This window comes from Homo sapiens, chromosome 3, assembly GCF_000001405.40.
Source record: "Homo sapiens chromosome 3, GRCh38.p14 Primary Assembly".
In the NCBI taxonomy this organism is placed as follows: Eukaryota; Metazoa; Chordata; class Mammalia; order Primates; family Hominidae; genus Homo; species Homo sapiens.
The window spans coordinates 97,415,103-97,433,702 of record NC_000003.12 but is presented as its reverse complement, the minus strand read 5'-3'; the positions used below and the strand labels follow the sequence as shown (position 1 = coordinate 97,433,702).

General features: G+C 34.9%; 1 protein-coding gene across 11 annotated transcripts in view; it reads right to left on the bottom strand.

The window, feature by feature from the left end:
• EPHA6 (EPH receptor A6) overlaps positions 1-18,600 on the bottom strand; it is a 946,939-nt gene that overhangs the window by 327,830 nt on the left and 600,509 nt on the right. The window lies entirely within an intron of this gene.

The following is an 18,600-nucleotide window of genomic DNA, read 5'->3' as shown; positions in this document are numbered from 1 at the left end:
TGACTTTGTCAAATGGAATTGGGATATATTTGATATACATTTTTCTAACAACATGGAAAAGGGTTTTCCTCCTTCTTTCCCTGCAAGGTACATCCTACTGCTTTGAACTTCCAAGTATGCCTAGTCACCTTTTAAAATGTAAAACTTTTCAGAAAAATGAGGATTGCTTTCCTTGCATGCCCTTATTATCTCGACTACCTGAATTGCAAGGGATTTTTATATATTCATATGTTCCAAAGTCAGCAACTCTCCTGTTGGTTCATTATTGACTGTGCTGTAAATGAAGTCTTTTGCAATTAAAATGAGATTTGCCTATGTCCAAAAAAAATTAAGGTTTAAAAAGATTATATTTTGTTAGTATTTCATGAGATTTTGAGTCTTCATCAAATAACACTAATGACCTCAAGACACATATTCACTTCTCTTTTTACTATGTAAGGTAAGAGACTCATTAGGAAGAACGAAACTCTTATTTCTTTTATCACAACAATTAACTTACATACCTGTGCTCATCTATGAAGGCAAACTATAGAGAACAGGCAAATTGTAGAGAACAGGCCAAACCAGTTTTCCTTATTTGCATTTCCATTTCAGTTTTTACCACCATACTGAGTTTAGGAGGATATCTATGCCGTAGATGAAAAGACTATGAGCTTCACAGTGCTTTAAACTGAGGTTTCTAATTCTTTTATAGTTTCTAACAGGATCTTCTATATTGCAAACTAAATGACTTTATGATGTGGTTTGGCTCTGTGGTCCCACCCAAATCTCATCTCCTGTTGTAATCCCTATAATCCCCATATGTCAAGGAAGAAACCCAGTGGGAGGTGATTGGGTCATGGGGGTGGTTTCCCACATGCTGTTCTCGTGATAGTGAGTGAGTTCTCACGACATATGGTGGTTTTATAAGGGGCTCTTACCCATTCGCTTCTGGCTCTTCTCTCTCTTCCCACCATGGGAAAAAGGTCCTTGCTTCTTCTTTGCCTTACACATGATTGTAAGTTTCCTGAGGCCTTGCCAGCCATGTGGAACTGTGAGTCAATTAAACCTCATTCCTTTATAAATTACCCAGTCTTGGGTAGTATCTTCATAGCAGTATGAGAACAGACTAATACACTTTATTAATAAGAGCACTGGATTGGAATTTCAAGAAACAGTGCTTCTTTCTGTGACTTACAAGACAGGTGAACATAAGCCTTTCATCTTATTACTGAGACACAGCATGCTTTGTTAAAAAGTAACATAAAACGTCAGTTCTATCCACCTTACAATATTGTAATGAGTCGAATGTTAATGCATGTGAAGTGATTTCTAAGCTGGGACATCCTCATTAAATGTTAGAATGATTATCAATGCTGTTGTGAACGTAATTAAATAGATATTTGTGTTGTTGCTGAAAACATTTGTCACTTTGAGTAAGAAGTAATATTTTAATAATAAACTATACCTTGAGTTAGTGGATGGAATTGCATTTGTTGTTTAGTAAATTAATCTCCCAGAACACCACCACCTTTTAATTCCATGTCAAGAAAATTAGTAGGATAAGTCAGCAAAATTCCCAGGGGTCTGGCACTTTAGGTAATTAAGTGGCAGTTGAGATCTATATGTGGGAATAACATCAACGTCTTGAGGTATCTTTATATAGCCAGTAACTTGAGTCTTAAGTCAGTTGCCTGTTTCTGTAGATAAGACCAGTTGACTAGTTGTAAATGTAGCTGTCATAGGTACAATGAAACCATTTTGACATTCAAGAGTAAAAAATAGTGATTTGGAATAATCATTGATTATTGCATGTTTTAGGAGCTTAGAAGGACTATACATCTGGCAGGTACCGCTATCTGTTTGCCATGTTGAAGGTGGACAGCAATAAAACCCTTCATTCCTGTGCTAACCAACAATTGAACTAAGTCCATCTGTTGATCTTTTTAAAATATGAAAAGAACTATCTGGTGGTCTTTTAAAAGTATAAACGTGTTAAACATGAGAAAGAAAAATGCTGTGATGCATAATTCAATAAATAGGAGGAAAATTACCAAGGAGTTGTGGATAACAGGAGTTGTAATAGCTATATATATTCAGGTATTACTAAATTAGATAGGATGGAAAGATTTCATCCACCTGCTGTGGTTTATCCATAAAAATCACACGAATCAAGGGACATATGGAAATAATTATTGCATTGATTGCCTTTTTTAAATGTCCTTGTCTGAAATGGAAGGATCAAACACAGGTTTGGGGAACAATTTGCCTTTGCCAACTGAAACTTAGCCAAAAACAATTAATTTATATTCTATTCAACCATGACAAACTTTAAAAATACTGCCTTAACTAAAATTTTACATTCTCTCATTATAGACTTATGATATTTTTGACTTAAAGTTTTTAAAAGGTCTACATTAATTTCAATTTTTACTTTTTTCAATTAATCTATGGAAATGTTGATATTTCTAATAGAATTTAAGCCATCAGTTTCTAATTAAAATATACACATATGTGAAAATAAACCTATTTCAACACATATAAATTGAGATAACAAACTTTCAAAAATGAAAATAGAAACAATCTCACATAGTGTAAAAAATTACCAAGAAATTTAAAACCATTATTGAAAACCAACTTTTCAAATATTAGAACCCTTAGGTTAATCAAATTATTTCATAATTTTCCATTAATATACTCAAATAAATGGACAATGTTCTTTATTGTTGTTTTTTCCCTAAAAATATAGAATCAGTACGGATTCTACAAGGTCACTGCAAATACGTGATATTAAAACACAGCCAAATTCTGTAGCAACACAAATGTTTTTATGAGCAGCAGGTGTGTTCTTTGAGAGACTGTAAAGCTATTAACAGCTCAGTAAGGAGTACATAATAATAGGTTGTTAACTCAGCCTCCCTTACAAGAGTTCTGAGAAAGGACATTTTGAAAGCATTAAGAGAAATGCATTACAAAAATTACCCAATATGAATGCTTTATAAAAAGTGGTTCATTTAAAATTTATCTCATTAAAGTAATGAATTTAGTCTTCTTGATTTGAAAATGCCCATCCAAAAGAATTATTTAACTATTGTGAATGAAAATCAAATTATAGTTTTGAAGCTAAATACATTCTAGTCATAAGTACTTGAAAATGAATTCCAATGTAGGGTATTTTTTCAGGTTCCAGGATTTGAGGCTTATTCCAATAAAAATCTATAGTACCTAGCAGAGGTATTTGTCATCTAAGACTTTAATAAGACCATTGTGTGAATAAATGATACTCTAAGATATTTTATATTTTTTGAAATTTTAGTTGCTGACCTTGGAAAAATTATTAGTGATTTTAGTCCCCTAAAATCACTTCTAGGTATTTAATTTAAAATCAGAAACTGTCATTGTATTAGTTTGTTGAATCTATTTTCTTCCATAGTTGCCATATTCATTAAATCACTTCAAATATTCTTTGAAATTTACAAAGAATGAGGGTGTCAAAAATGTTTCTGGTTATAAGTTATTCATGAGGCATAGACTATTTAGTAATGCCCAATGTAATATACCTACTGTGCCAATTTTTTCATCAGTTTGAATATGAATGTTATTCATTCTTTAATTTCATTTATAAATAAAACTATGTGATATTTAAAAATTAATTTAAAAAAGAAATAAAGGTTTTATATCCAATTTCCATGTTGTTCAGCAAACATCACATTCTCTTTGGAAGCTTGTCTGGCTTAGTAAGCCCACGGAGGGCCATAGTGCCTAGAGCAGAGATTCTCATGGTAACAAGACTCTGACTGGGGCCAATACTGCATCCACAGCAGCATCTGTATGGTATACCCTTATCAAATAGGAAGAAACTAAAAATATATTGACAGCAACATTGCAGAGTCTGCAAACACATGAAAATTACAAATATCTACTAACTATACCTCTAAAGTGTCTCCTGTTTTATAAAAGTTATTCTATCTTTGGTTTGGTTTGAAGAATGGATTTGTTTAAAATTATAGAAGCTGCATTTAGTGTATTAAAGATTTGTACATCCAAGAAAGGAAAAAGTAATTGGTAAAACTAAGGACTCTGAATAAACTTCATTTAAACTTTCGAATATGCTATAGGTGAAAAGAAACATCTTTCTTTTCTATCTCTAGGCTCACGGCTGAGGTCCTTATAAAAACTGATTAAGAACAGATAAGAAATAAAACCATGTGATATTTAAAAAAGAACAAAATATATTTACTGTTATATTTTTTCTTCCTTAGAGTACTTGCTTCAAATTCATACTTCAGTGAAATAAACAACACCATACATAGGAATGGTAAGATTATTTGGTAAAAGAAATTTAAGGGATTCACTCTGCCACCGGGGATTAATTTTCCATAACCCTCATTCTGAAGGAAATGAATAAAGGATTCAAAGGAAAAAAAGATACATGCATAATTTAAAAATGATATTTTCCTACTATAAAAGTATGGATGAACTAAAGCCCAAATTTATGTTTCTATAATTTCCTCACTTGCCAGAAATCAAGTTTGGAAACTCAGGAAAGGTTTGGCTTAAATCATTTCCCAAAGCGTTTCCTTGGAACACTATTACCAAGAATTATGTGTTGTTATGGAAAAAAAAATCATGGCTTGTGTAAGTCTGGATTTTCTTGGGAGCCAACCCTTAAATGATGTTGAAAGAGAAGGTATTTATGAAAAGAAACACCTGTCCAAGTCAAAGGGGTGAGGAATTGAGAGGAGGCAAGAAAGCTCTTTCAGACCATAATACAGGCCCGATGCCTGTGAGAAGAGAGAGTTAAAGAAGGAGGATTGGGTAGAAAATGTCTCTGATGGCACTGCAAGCCTGAGAAAGTCTTGGCCAGGCATTTAGGAGTCCCAAGAGGAGACTGCTCTTTTGAGCATTTCTGTATTCAGCAAGAAAGGTCTGGTTCTAGTACCCGGATCTCAGGCAGAATGAGGGCTTTCAGGTGAACCTTCAGGTAATCCTTGAAGCTGTGGTAGCTGGAGACCCTCCTTGTAGCCCGTTCTCTCTCTTAAAGGGAGAACACTCTCCTCGTCGCCACTGAGGGAAAATGTATTTGGAAAACACCCAGTTAAATAAAATATGTAGGTTGCTTAGTTTAGGTTTTCTCTGAGCATTTAATATGCCCATGTGATCTGTGAAACTCTAGAAATAAAAATATATTCTACATTTTCCAAATCAATTTGACCATGTAACTATAGTGGTAAAACATCTAGTGAGACTAGATCCATGATATAAGCTTCATGAAATATTAGTTTAAAATATACTAAAGTGATATAAATTCTGAAATATCATAAGCAATATTGTACATTAATATAGTAATTTAATAGTTTCCTTAACTTGTATTTCTGTGTTCCTTCCCTATCCAGTCTCCTCCCTCTTTCAAAGAGATATTTACTATCATGAATTTTGTTTATCATTTCCTTACTTATAAAAATAAAAAGTTAGCACATCCTTAAAGCTACATAAATAATATATTGTTTAGTTTCGTATGTTTTTGAGGTTTCTACAAATATTTTTATATTATATGTAGTCTTCTGGGACTAAATTATATTTCTAAAGCTTACCATTTTGGGGCAATACCAACTGTTCATTCATTTCACTAATATACACTATTCATATATTTTTTTCTGTCCAACTTTTATTTTAGGTTCAGGAAATACATGTGCAGGTTTGTTACATAAATTGTGTGTTGCAGGGATTTGGGGTATAGATTATTTTATCACCCAGGTAATCAGCATAGTGCCCCATAGACAGCACCGTCCCCACCCTCAACCCTCAAGTAGGCCCCAGTGTCTATTGTTCCCTTCCTTGTGTCATGCATAGTCAACATTTAACTACCACTTATAAGTGAGAACGTGCAGTATTTGGTTTTCTCCTCCTGTATTAATTGGCTTAGGATAATGCCCTTGAGTTCCACCCCTGTTGCTGCAAAGGACATGGTTTTGTTGTTTTTTTTAATGGCTGCATCATATTCCATGGTGTATATGTACCACATTTTTTTTTTAATTTTACTTTAAGGATACATGTGCAGTTTTGTTACACAGGTAAACCTGTGTCATGGGGTTTGTTGTACAGATTATTTAATCACTGAAGTATTAAGCCTAGTACCCATTAGTCACTTTTCCTGGCCCTCTTCCTCCTCCCACTCTTCACCCTCCAGTAGGCCCCAGTGTCTGTTATTCCTCTATGTGTCCATGTGTTCTCATCATTTAGCTCCCACTTATAAGTGAGAACATGCAATATTTGGTTTTCTGTTCCTGCATTAGTTTGCAAAGGATGATGGCCTCCAGTTGCAACCATGTTCCTGGAAAGGCCATGATCTCATTCTTTTTTATGGCTGCATGGTATTCCATGGTGTATATGTATGATAATTTTTTACTGACTCTACCATTAATGGTCATTTAGATTGATTCTATGACTTTGCTGTTGTGAATGGTTCTGCAGTGAACATAAGCAAGCATGTGTCTTTATAGTAGAATGACATATATTCCTTTGGGTATATACCCAATAATGGGATTGTTGGGTCAAATGGTAGTTGTTTTTAGCTCTTTGAGGAATCGCCACAGTGCTTTCCACAGGTGTAACTAATTTAATTATACTCCCACCAACAGTGCATAAGTGTTCCTTTTTCTCTGCAACCTCGCTAGTATCTGCTATTTTTTGTCTTTTTAATAATAACCATTCTGACTGGTGTGAGATAGTATCTCATTTTGGCTTTGATTTGCATTTCTCCCAAAGATTAGTGATGATGACTTATTTTATATAATTTTGGCCATGTGTATGTCTTCTTTTAAGAAGTATCTGTTCATGTCCTTTGCTCATTTTTTAATGAGGCTGCCTTTCGCCTGTTAATTTGTGTAAGTTCCTTATAGATTCTAGATATTAGACCTTTGTTGGATGCACAGTTTGCAAATATATTCTCCCATTCTGTAGGTTGTCTAGTTACTCTGTTGATAGTTTCTTTTGGTTGGCAGGAGCTCTTTAGTTTAATCATGTTCCACTTGACAATGTTTTTGTTGCAATTGCTATTGGAGGCTTCCTCATAAAATCTTTGCCAGGGTGTATGTCCAGAGTGGTATTTCCTAGGTTTTCTTCTAGGAATGTTATAGTTTTTGGTTTTATATTTAAGTCTTTAATTCATCTTGAGTTTATTTTTGTATATGGTATAAAGAAGGTGACATGGTTTGGCTGTGTCCCCACCCAAACCTCACCTTGAATAGTAATAGTCCCCACATGTCAATGACAGGGCCAGGTGGAAATAATTGAATTATGGGGGTGGTTCCCCCATACTGTTCTTGTGGTAGTGAATTAGCCTCGTGAGATTTGATGGTTACATAAATGGGAGTTCCCCTGCACATGCTTGCTCTTGCCTGCTGCTGTGTAAGACATACATTTGGTTCTCCTTTGCCTTCCACCATGATTGTGAGGCCTCCCCAGCTATATGGAACTGTGAGTTAATAAGTTTCCTTTATAAGTTACCCAGTCTTGGCTATGTGTTTATTAGCAGCATGTGAATAGACTAATACAGTAAATTGGTATGGGGTAGTGGGGTGATGGTGTAAAGATACTCGAAAATGTGGAAGCAACTTTGGAACTGGGTAACAGGCAGAGGTTGGAAAGTTTAGAGGGCTCAGAAGACAGGAAGATTTGGGAAAGTTTGGAACTTCCTAGAGGTTTGTTGAATGGCTTTGATCAAAATGTATGGTGATGTGGACAATAAAGTCCAGGCTGAAGTGGTCTCAGATGGAGATGAGGAACTTCTTGGAAACTGGAGTAAAAGTCACTCTTGCTGTACAAAGAAACTGGAGGCATTTTGCCCCTGCCCTAGAGATCTGTGGAGCTCTGAACTTGAGAGAGATGATTTAGAGTATCTGGTAGAAGAAATTTCTAAGCAGTAAAGTGTTCAAGAGGAAGCAGAGCATAACAGTTTGGAAAATTTGCAGCCTGACAATGCAATAGAAAAGAAAAAACAATTTTCTGGGAAGGAAGTCAAGCCTCCTGCAGAAATTTGCATAAGTAATGAACAGCCCAATGTTAATCACCAAGACAATGGGGAAAATGTCTCCAGGCCATGTCAGAGATCTTCCCGGCAGTCCCTCTCATCACAGGCCCAGAGGCCTAGGAGAAAAGAATGTTTTCATGGCTGGGCCCAGGGCCCCTCTGCTGTGCACAGCCTAGGGACTTGGTGCCCTGCATCCCAGCCACTCCAGCCATGGCTAAAAGGGACCAATGTACAAGCTCGGGTTGTGGCTTTGTGGGGGTGCAAGCCCCAAACTTTAGAAGCTTTCACATAGTGTTGAGCCTGCAGGTGCACAGAGGTTTGGGAGCCTCCGCCTATATTTCAGAGGGTATATGGAAACACCTGGATGTCCAGGCAGAGCTGTGCTGCAGGGATGAAGCCTTCATGAAGAACCTCTGCTAGGGCAATGTGGAAGCAAAATGTGGGGTTGGAGCCCCCACACAGAGTCCCCAGTGGGGTACTGCCTAGTGGAGCTGTGAGAAGAGGGCCGCTGTCCTCCAGACCCGAACGGCAGATCCACGGACAGCTTGCATCATGCACCTGGAAAAGTCACACACACTCAACGCCAGCCTGTGATAGCAGCCAGGAGGGGGCTGTACCCTGCAAAGCCACAGGGGTAGGGCAGCCTAAGGCCATGGGAGCCCACCTCTTGCATCAGTATAACCTGGATATGAGACATGGAGTCAAAGGAGATTCTTTGGGAGCTTTAAAATTTAATTACTGACTTGTTTGATTTTGGACTTGCATTGGCCTATAGCCTCTTCATTTTGTCCAATTTCTCCCATGTGGAACAGGTGTATTTACCCAACACTTGTACTCCCATTGTATCTAGGAAGTAACTAACTTGCTTTTTTTTTTTTTTTTTTTGAGACAGAGTTTCATTCTTATTGCCCAAGCTGGAGTGCAATGGCGTGGTCTCGGCTCACTGCAACCTCTGCCTCCTGGGTTCAAGTGATTCTCCTGCCTCAGCCTCCCAAGTAGCTGGGATTACAGGTGCCCACCACAATGCCTGGCTAATTTTTTTGTATTTTTAGTAGAGATGGGGTTTCACTATGTTGGCCAGGCTGGTCTTGATCTCCTGACCTCAGGTAATCTGCCCGCCTTGGCCTTCCAAAATGCTGGGATTACAGGCATGACCACCAAGCATGGCCACTAATTTGCTTTTGATTTTTCACGCTCATAGGCAGAAGGGACTTGCCTTGTCTCAGCTAAGACTTTGGACTATGATCATTATCGTTTGAGTTAATGCTAAAATGAGTTAAGATTTGGGGGACTGTAGGGAAGGCATGATTGATTTTGTTATGTGTGGATATGAGATTTGGGAATGGCCAGGGGTGAAAAGATATGGTTTGGCTGTGTCCCCACCAAAATCTCACCTTAACATGTAATAATCCCCATGTGTCAAAGACGGGGCCAGGTGGAGTTAATTTAATCATGGGGACAGTTTCCCCATACTGTTCTCATGGTACTGAACAAGTCTCAGGAGATCTGATGGTTTTATAAATGAGAGTTCCTATGCACAAACTTGCTCTTGCCTGCTGCCATGTAAGACATAACTTTGCTCCTCATTCGCCTTCCACCATGATTGTGAGGCCTCACCAGCCATGTGGGACTGTGAGTCCATTAAACCTCTTTCCTTTATAAATTACCCAGTCTCAAGTATGTGTTTATTAGCAGCCTGAGAAGAGACTAATAGAGAAGAGGGCCGGTTTCAATCTTCTGCATATGACTAACCAGTTATTTCTGCATCATTGATTGAATAGAGAGTCCTTTCCCCATCACTTGTTTTTGTTGACTTTGTAGAAGATCAGATGGCCATAGGTGTGAGGCTTTATTTCTGGGTTCTCTAACCTGTTGCATTAGTCTAGGTATCTGTTTCTGTACCATGCTGTTTTGGTTATTGTAGCCTTATAGTATAGTTTGAAGTCAGGTAATGTGATGCCTCCAGCTTTGTTCTTTTTTCTTAGGATTAGAATAGCTATGGCTATTTGGTCTCTTTTTTGGTTCCATATGAATTTTAGAAAGGTTTTTTCTAATTCTGTAAAAAATGTCATAGGTAGATTGATAGGAATAGCATTGAATATGTAGATTGCTTTGGGTAGTATGGCAATTTTAATAATAAGAATTCTTTCTATCCTGTACATGAATAGTTTTTCCATTTGTATGTGTTGTCTGTAATTTTTTTGAGCAGCGTTTTATATTTATCATTGTAGAGATCTTTCACCTCCCTGGCTAGATGTATTCTTAGGTATTTTATTCTTTTAGTGGCATTTGTAAATGGAATTGTATTCTTGATTTGACTCTCATCTTGGACAATGTTCATGTATAAAAATGCTACCAATTTTTCACATTGATTTTGTATACTGAAAGTTGTTGAAATTTTTTATCAGATCTAGGAGCTTTTGGGCAAAGATTATGGGGTTTTCTGGCTATAAAATTGTATCATCTGTGAAGAGAGATAGTTTTTCTTCCTCTCTTTTTATTTGAATGCCTTTCATTTCTTCCTCTTGCCTGATTACTCTAGCTGCTACTTCCAGTAGTATTTTGGATAGGCATGGTTAGAGTAGGCATCCTTGTCTTGTTCCGGTTCTCAAGGGAAAGGCTTCCAGCTTTTGCCCATTCACTGTGATGTTGGCTGTGGTTTTGTCATAGATGACACTTATTATTTTCAGGTATGTTCCTTCAATGCCTTGTTTGTTGAGTGTCTTTAACTTGAAGTGATGTTGAATTTTACTGAAAGCCTTTTCTGCACCTACTGAGATGATCATGTGGTTTTTGTTTTTAGTTTTATTTACTGAATCACATTGATTTGTGTATGTTGAACCAACCTTGCATCCCATGAATAAAGCCTAATGGATCATGGTGGATTAGTTATTTGATGTGGTACTTGTTTGCTCTGCTAATGTTTTGTTGTGGAATTTTGCATCTATGTTCATCAGGGATATATGACTGAGTTTTCTTTTTTGATTTTGTAATTTGTTGAGAATTGCTTTATGGCTGAACTTCTGGTTGATTTTAGAGTATGTGCTATGTACAGCTGAGAATAATGTATGTTGTTCAGTGGATGCTCTGTAGATACCTGTTAGGTCCATTTCGTCAAGTGCTGATTTTACGTCTCAAACATCTTTGCAAGTTTTCTATTTCAATGATCAGTCTAATACTGAAATCTCCCACTATTATGTGATTATCTAAGTCTCTTCAGAGGTCTCTAAAAACCTGTTTTATGAATCTGGGTACTCCAGTGTTGGGGGTGTATATATTTTGATACTTAAGTATTCTTGTTGAATTGCAGTTTCCCTATTACTAATGAAGTTGAGTGTATTTTCTTACCTAGGTTGACATACAGATCTTACATAAGGTTTTCAATTGGCTTGTTGTTCTTTTTCTAATAGTTTTACAGGATTTCTTTATGTATTTTGGATACTACTCCTTTACTAATTGTATGCATGGCAAATATCTTCTCCCAGTTTGTCTTGTCTTTTGACAATCTAAATAAAGTTTTTTGAGAGACTATTCTTTTTTTTTTTTTTTTTTTTGAGAGACTATTCTTAAAATGACTATAATGAAAATTATCAATTTTTCTTTTAAGGTAAGAATATGCATTTCATTTGTGAAATATTTTCCTTGTAAGGAGAAAGGAAATTGTTCTCTATTTTCCTTCCAAAAATTTTAAAGTTCTTTCCATCACATTTTGTCCTTAGAACACTTGGATTTAAATTTGTGAATGATATGAGGTGGGAATCTAGTTTCTTTTTTTTTCTACCAATATACATTACCCAGTACCTATTACCTAGTGAATAGCCCATACATTTTTAATGATCTGCAGTGCCACTTCTGCCATAGGTTCAAGGTCCACACATGTGCAAGTCTGTTTCTGAACATTCTGTTACAATACATTGGTCTTGCTGTCTCATTGTGCAACAATGTTATGCACTATACAGTAACTCTAAAGTATCTGCCAAGGCATGTAACTTCAACATATTTTGTGTCAAAAGTATCCTGGTTATTCATGGCCCCCTATTTTTCATTTCCTCATCAAGTTTAAAATCAGTTTTTTGATTTCCACAAAGAGATCTGCTAGAATTTTTATTAGACATTAAAGCTGCACATCATTTGGGGTAAAATTGATCTTTCTATGATAAGCTTTTCTTATTTACAAATGTGGGCTGTATTTGAGTGTTTTTAATGTCTTTCTATAAAATTTTATTATTGTTTTGTACATATTGAAAACTATTTCAGATTTATTCTCAAATGCTTTACAGATTAAGTTGCTATTGTAAATTTAACTTCTTTAAAATGTGTTTTCTTTTGATGCTGACGTATAGAAATGCATTTAAATTTGCAGAGCGAGACACCTTACTATAATCTTTTTAAATCTGAATGTACATTCGGGAAAAATTTTTATGTAAAGAGTCATATCATCTGGAATAATGTGGGGTTTTTTTAACAACATATATGCTTTTATTTTATTTTATTTTTATCCCATTGGAATGGCGAGATCCTCTAATATTTAGTAGAAACTATTGATAATGGACATTTTTATGTAGTTCTTGTTTTGGGAGAAGTAGTGTAATATTTCCTCACTAAGACGGCTATTTGCTTGATCTGAATTATGTTAAAGAAGTTATCTCATATTACTAGATTTCTGAGAATAATACCCAAGAATAGATGGTATACATGAAATGCCTTTTCTGCATCTATTAAGGTGATTATTTGGAACTTTTCCTTTTATCTGCTGAATGTTAAGTTACATTGATAAATTATCTACTGTTAAAATACTCATGCATTCCTGAAATAAATCCAAATTTGGCCCTATTTTTTTTTTTTGTCTGTTTGTCTTTTTTTCTATACTTAGCTGGTTTGGTTGGTTACATTTAATTTAGGATTTTGTACCTATGCTTCTGAGTAAGATTTACCTGTAGTTATTATTTCTCCTACTGCCCTCGTTCAGTTAAGAGGTTATTCTGGCCTTATGGAACACACTTCAGAAAATTCCTTTTTTCCCCATTCTTAGGAAAAGCTTGAATATGTTTGAAATGATGGGTTCCTTGAAAGATGGGGGAAAAAAATGACTTAAAAACCATCTAAGCCAGATGCTCTTAGTGTTGGGAACAGTTTTTATCCACTGATTCCAATTATTTAGTAGTGAAGTAATTATGCAAGTTTTCTATTTCCTTTTTAGTCATATTTAGTAAATAATATATGTATGAAGTTTTTTCTAGTTTGTGTAAGTTTTCACATGTAATTTACATAAATTTGATCTTGGAAAATTCATTATATTTCCAATCTCTATAATATTTGTTACTATATCTTCATTTTTCTTCCCAGTTTTTAGTTTCTTGTTTCTTTTATTTTGGTCAATTTTTATCTTTTTTTTTTTAAGAATCAAAGGATAAACAGTTTATTGAATGGAATGATGTATCAAAGGGTTCACAGAGAACGAGTGACATTATTATAACTTGAAGTATGATATATGAGAGATTTATGGATGTTTATAATACCCAGATTGGCACATAGATCTATCACATGCAGTGAATGAATACACAAATAAACAAATGATTCTCAAACTTAATATTTAGTGTTGATCAATTGACCCATGAAAAATGCATGTAAAGTTAACAAAAAAGACATTTTTCAGAAGGCTTTTCCTTTCCTTTTCCTCTGTATTCTAAAAATCAGGTTTTTTTTGGTAATACAACCCATTTTTTACTTTAATGTACACAGAAGTTTCTTGTCTTCATTTTGGTTATTTCATGTGTTGATTTCTAGCGGCTTCCCAGTTTCTCAGCCTTTAGAAACTTGAATTACTTCAGTCATCTAAGTGTCTTCTTTCTTGAATTTAGAAACCTAAATTTTGATCAATCTTTCTAAAGGTTTATGTAATCAATCAGTTTTTTCAATTTTTGGTTTTGTTGATTTTCTCTATTTTGTCTTTGTTTTTTTATTTTCTCACTTTTGCTCTTGTGGTAATGATTTCTTTCCTCCTACTTTCCCTGGACTTACTGTTTTATATTCCTTCTGTTAAATTCTTGTGTGTGTGTGTGTGTGTGAGAGGGAGTCTCATTCTGTCACACAGGCTGGATTGTAGTGGCAAGATCTCACCTCACTGCAACCTCCGCCTCCCAGGTTCAAGCGATTCTCCTGCCTCAGACTCCCAAGTAGCTGGGATTACAGGTGCCTGCCACCACACCAGGCTGATTTTTGTATTTTCAGTAGAGAAGGGGTTTCCACTATGTTGGCCAGGCTGGTCTTGAACTGCTGGCCTCAGGTGATCCACCCACCTCGGCCTCCCAAAGTGCTGGGATTACAGACGTAAGCCACCGTGCCTGACCCCTTCTGTTTTGTTTGTTTGTTTGTTTGTTTGTTTTTTGTGATGGAGTTTTGCTCTTGTTGCCCAGGCTAGAGTGCAATGGCAGGATCTCGGCTCACCGCAACTTCCACCTCCTGGGTTCAGGCGATTCTCCTGCCTCAGCCTCCTGAGTAGCTGGGATTACAGGTACATGCCACCATGCCCCGCAATTTTGTATTTTTAGTAGAGACGGGGTTTCTCCATACTGGTCAGGCAGGTGTTAAACTCCCGAACTCAGGTGATTCGCCCGCCTTGGCTTGCCAAAGTGCTGGGATTACAGGCGTGAGCCACAGTGCCTGGCCCTGTTAAATTCTTAAGTAAGATACTTAGTTCATTAATTTTTTGACTTCATTACTTTCCAATAAGGGCATTTATTATACTCGTTCATTTATTACCTGCATATACTGGATGCCACACTCTATGCTATGTAATATTTTCATTATCATTTAATTAGAAGTACTTGAATTTCCTTTACAACTTATTCTTTGATTCATGCATGCTATTTTATCTTGTATTTATTTCTTTTGAAAGATACTATTTTATACATGTATTTTTTCAGATTTATGTACATGTTTACTATTTTATTTATTCACATCTTGCTTCTTATACTATCGTTTTGGAATCATTTTCCTTCTTATTTATGCCCATTTCTTTATGGTAGGTCTTTGAGTGACAAACTCCCTCTTTTTGTTTATCTCTAAACACCAATATTTTACCCTTATTCTTGAAAAAATAGTTTGGCATATATCATTCTGGGTTGAAAAATGTGAGGGTACTATTTTCAACTGTCTACTTTCTATTGTGGTAAGACAGCTGCTTTAAGTCTGGTTGTCATGTTTTTTTGTCAGTGATTTCTTCTATATGCCTAATTTTTAAAATGTCCCCTTTCTCTATCCCCTTTATACTATGCAGCTGTAATAAAGTTTCTAGATATGTGTTATTTTTCCTATTTTGAACATGTTATACTTCCTTCTAGAAAATTCACAGCCATTATTCATATAAGTATTGTATGCTCTCTGTTCTGTTTTCTTTTTCTTAGAATGAAGTCCAGTATTGTTAGATTTTTTAAATGTCTTTTCATTAGTAATTATTAGTATCATTTATTAGTATATACTGATAAATATTAATATATATAGTGTATGACTGTGTATCTATTTATTGAGTTTTTTCTTATAATTATATATTTAATTTTATAAGTTTAATTTCCCCCAATCTGCTTATTCTTCTTATCTTTTTCTCAATCTCCTGATTGCATTTATTATTTTTTAAACTTTTCAAACATAGTTGTTTTGTGTATGATTCTTTAACGCATCAAAAGTCCTTGGGATACTAAATCTGTTGCAGATCGTTTCTCCTCATTCACTCATGTTTTGTTTTTTTCTGTAATTGGTAGTCTTTGATTGTGTTATTATTGCCTGATCATAATCTGTGGTGTCTGAGTCTTATATTTTGAGAGCTTTTCTCTAGATAGGATTTACTTCTATGTCTATAAGAAATCAGTGTATGCTGCTAGAATGGTACTACTTCAGTTTTCCTTCAGTACCTTAGCTCAGCACCAAAGTCGCAGAATCAATTCTCCCTCCTAGCCAGTGGCCCAAGACTCTGATCCTGACAATAGTGTTCTCAGAGCACTTTGAAATTTGCTCTCAGAGAAAACTCACTACACCAGACTGACAGCCATCTTTCCCCTCCAAGCTCAGATTTTTTTTTTGGACAAGAGAAGGCAAGTCCTTGAAATTCTCCCTTAAGTTTTGTAAAAACAAAATTACCATCAAGAGTATGCTTTACACATACCTACCTACTTTGTAAAGAAAGAGCCTTGCAAAATGCCTACTCTGGCATTATTATAAAAGCCAATAAGTCACTTTCTAGTTAGGCTATTGGACATAGCACTTTTTTTTCCATTAAAAAAAGAAAAAGTAGGAGTTCAGGAGTAAGAAATCGTTCATTCATACAATCATTTATTCCCTAATTTTTATTGAATGATTACAGTGTGTCAGGAAAAGCGCTTTTCTCCAGGGAGGCCAAAGATACATCAGATATATTCCCAACAGGACTTAGAACCCAACATGGAGAGACAAACATGGTCAGAGAAAGGTGTACAGTCACTTGCAATTCTCTTTTGTCCCTGAAAAATATTTACTTAGCAAATGACATATATGTTTAAATGAAATGAAAGACATATCAGGAGTATAATTGTTTTAAGAAATACATTTCATCAAGGACATATGCTGACTGGAATATTTTAACTTTTGAAATGGTGTTATATTTTGTTTTGGATTCATTCCAAACTAATATTTTGAGAAATAAAACTTATGAATCAAATGTATTATTTTATGATTATAAATATGTTAAAGACATTTGTAAATGCCTTACCTTGATCTGAGCCTTTAAAAAAGGGAAAGAAGAGAATGAGAGGTATAAAATACTCAATTTTTCTAGATTAGTTTCCTGAATGATGGATTGGGGAAAAATAACTGAAAGTTAAAATGATATTGATGAAAGATATAAAGATACTCATAATCATGAAAGAAAATAAATTTTCAATGAGTTAATTATATCTTAAGCATATTTAAACAAATATGATACTGTTTAAAAATTTTAATATCATTCCTAATGTGAATCTGTAGTGCTAAACATTACACATGTAGGTGTGCAATAAATATTTGTTAAATGTGGGAAAGAGGAGAGAAATGGTGTACTTTGCTTTCCTCTGCTCACTGTTTCAGGCTCATCTCTCCTTCCTTACTATATTCAAGCCACAGAACACTGTCTCTTCCTTCAACTTGCCAAGTTCCTTACCTTGGACTTTCACACTTATGTTCCCTTTACCTAGAATCTTCTTATCTTCTCATTTTGTCACAGTTATTAATATTAAATACCTCTCCATCTTAGGTTAGTGCCTAATCCAAAAATGAAAATGTTTCATCTCTTTAATTATTTAAAATTTTATCCACAAAGGATTTTTATCATAGCATTTCATTTAACTCTAAATTCTAATATAACTTTAGATTGCCAAAAAGTCTTGGATTTAATTTTTAGGAAACAGCATGGTGTGAAGGAAATAATTCTGGATCTGCTGTCAGGTTGACACAAAAATATGTAGCTCAGGAGCTGGAACATAGGGGTATTTAACTCATTTTGGTTTCTTCTCTTTCTTTCCTTTTATTCTTTCTACTTTTTTTCTATATTAAAACAAAATATTAGTACAAGGTGAAGTGTAGATTTGTAATAATAAAAACAAGTAGGTGTTTTAGATTTTTATATGCCACAGATTATAATACTTGGGCTAAAAATTGGTCCAAAAAATTCTGACAATTAGGCGAAATGGAGAAACATTTATTTTGACAACAAACAATATAACTCCATAATTACAAAATTAGATTTTTTTCTGAAGCAAAACTCAAGTAAAAAAAAATTCAAGTGCTTTTTAAAAGACGATTGACTAAATCAACAAACAAATTCAACCAATGTTTCTGAATGCAGAATGCAGGCATATTGTTGAGTTTTAATTCACTGGAGTAATTTTTTCAGGGAGCTTAATGTGTTACAGATATTTTGTTACTGATCATTTAATTTATCAAAGGAATAGAAATCAGACACGGTTCATGAATTGTGATTTGAAATGTCCATTTTGTGATCTGCTTCAAACAGATGCCTGAATTCAAAGACAAGTGCTTTAACAAGCTCTTCTGATACAGACTGTAAAAAACTGGTAGTATTTTTAAATCAAAGGATATATATGGTCAAGTTTTTGACCATTACACAGGACCAGTTTGAGTTTGTTTTGTCCTTTCACAAATTCATACCCTCATCTCAACATGTATCTTGCCTGGGATATTCTCTGCCATTTTATAAAGTCTGTCTTCATTTCTAATTTTGCCTTCAACTATATCTTTTAGAAAATTTTACCAGCTTCAAGGTGTCCAATGAATAGATAAGACAGAATTACAAACCAATACATCTCTTACAACTGGAGACTAATTAATATTGCATGATTATAAGAGGACGCTCATCCACTAATGTTGAGAATAATGTTAAGAGAAGTAGAATGTGGCAAGTTAAAAACAAAAGAGGTGATAAATGCAGATGCACAAATCAAGCTCGCTTTAGATTACAGATAACTACTCCTAATGACTCTTTCAACTATTCTTTTTTTTTCTGTAATTTTTCAGTGAAAGCAAAGTCATCATACACTGTTTGCTTCATTGTATGAGAATCA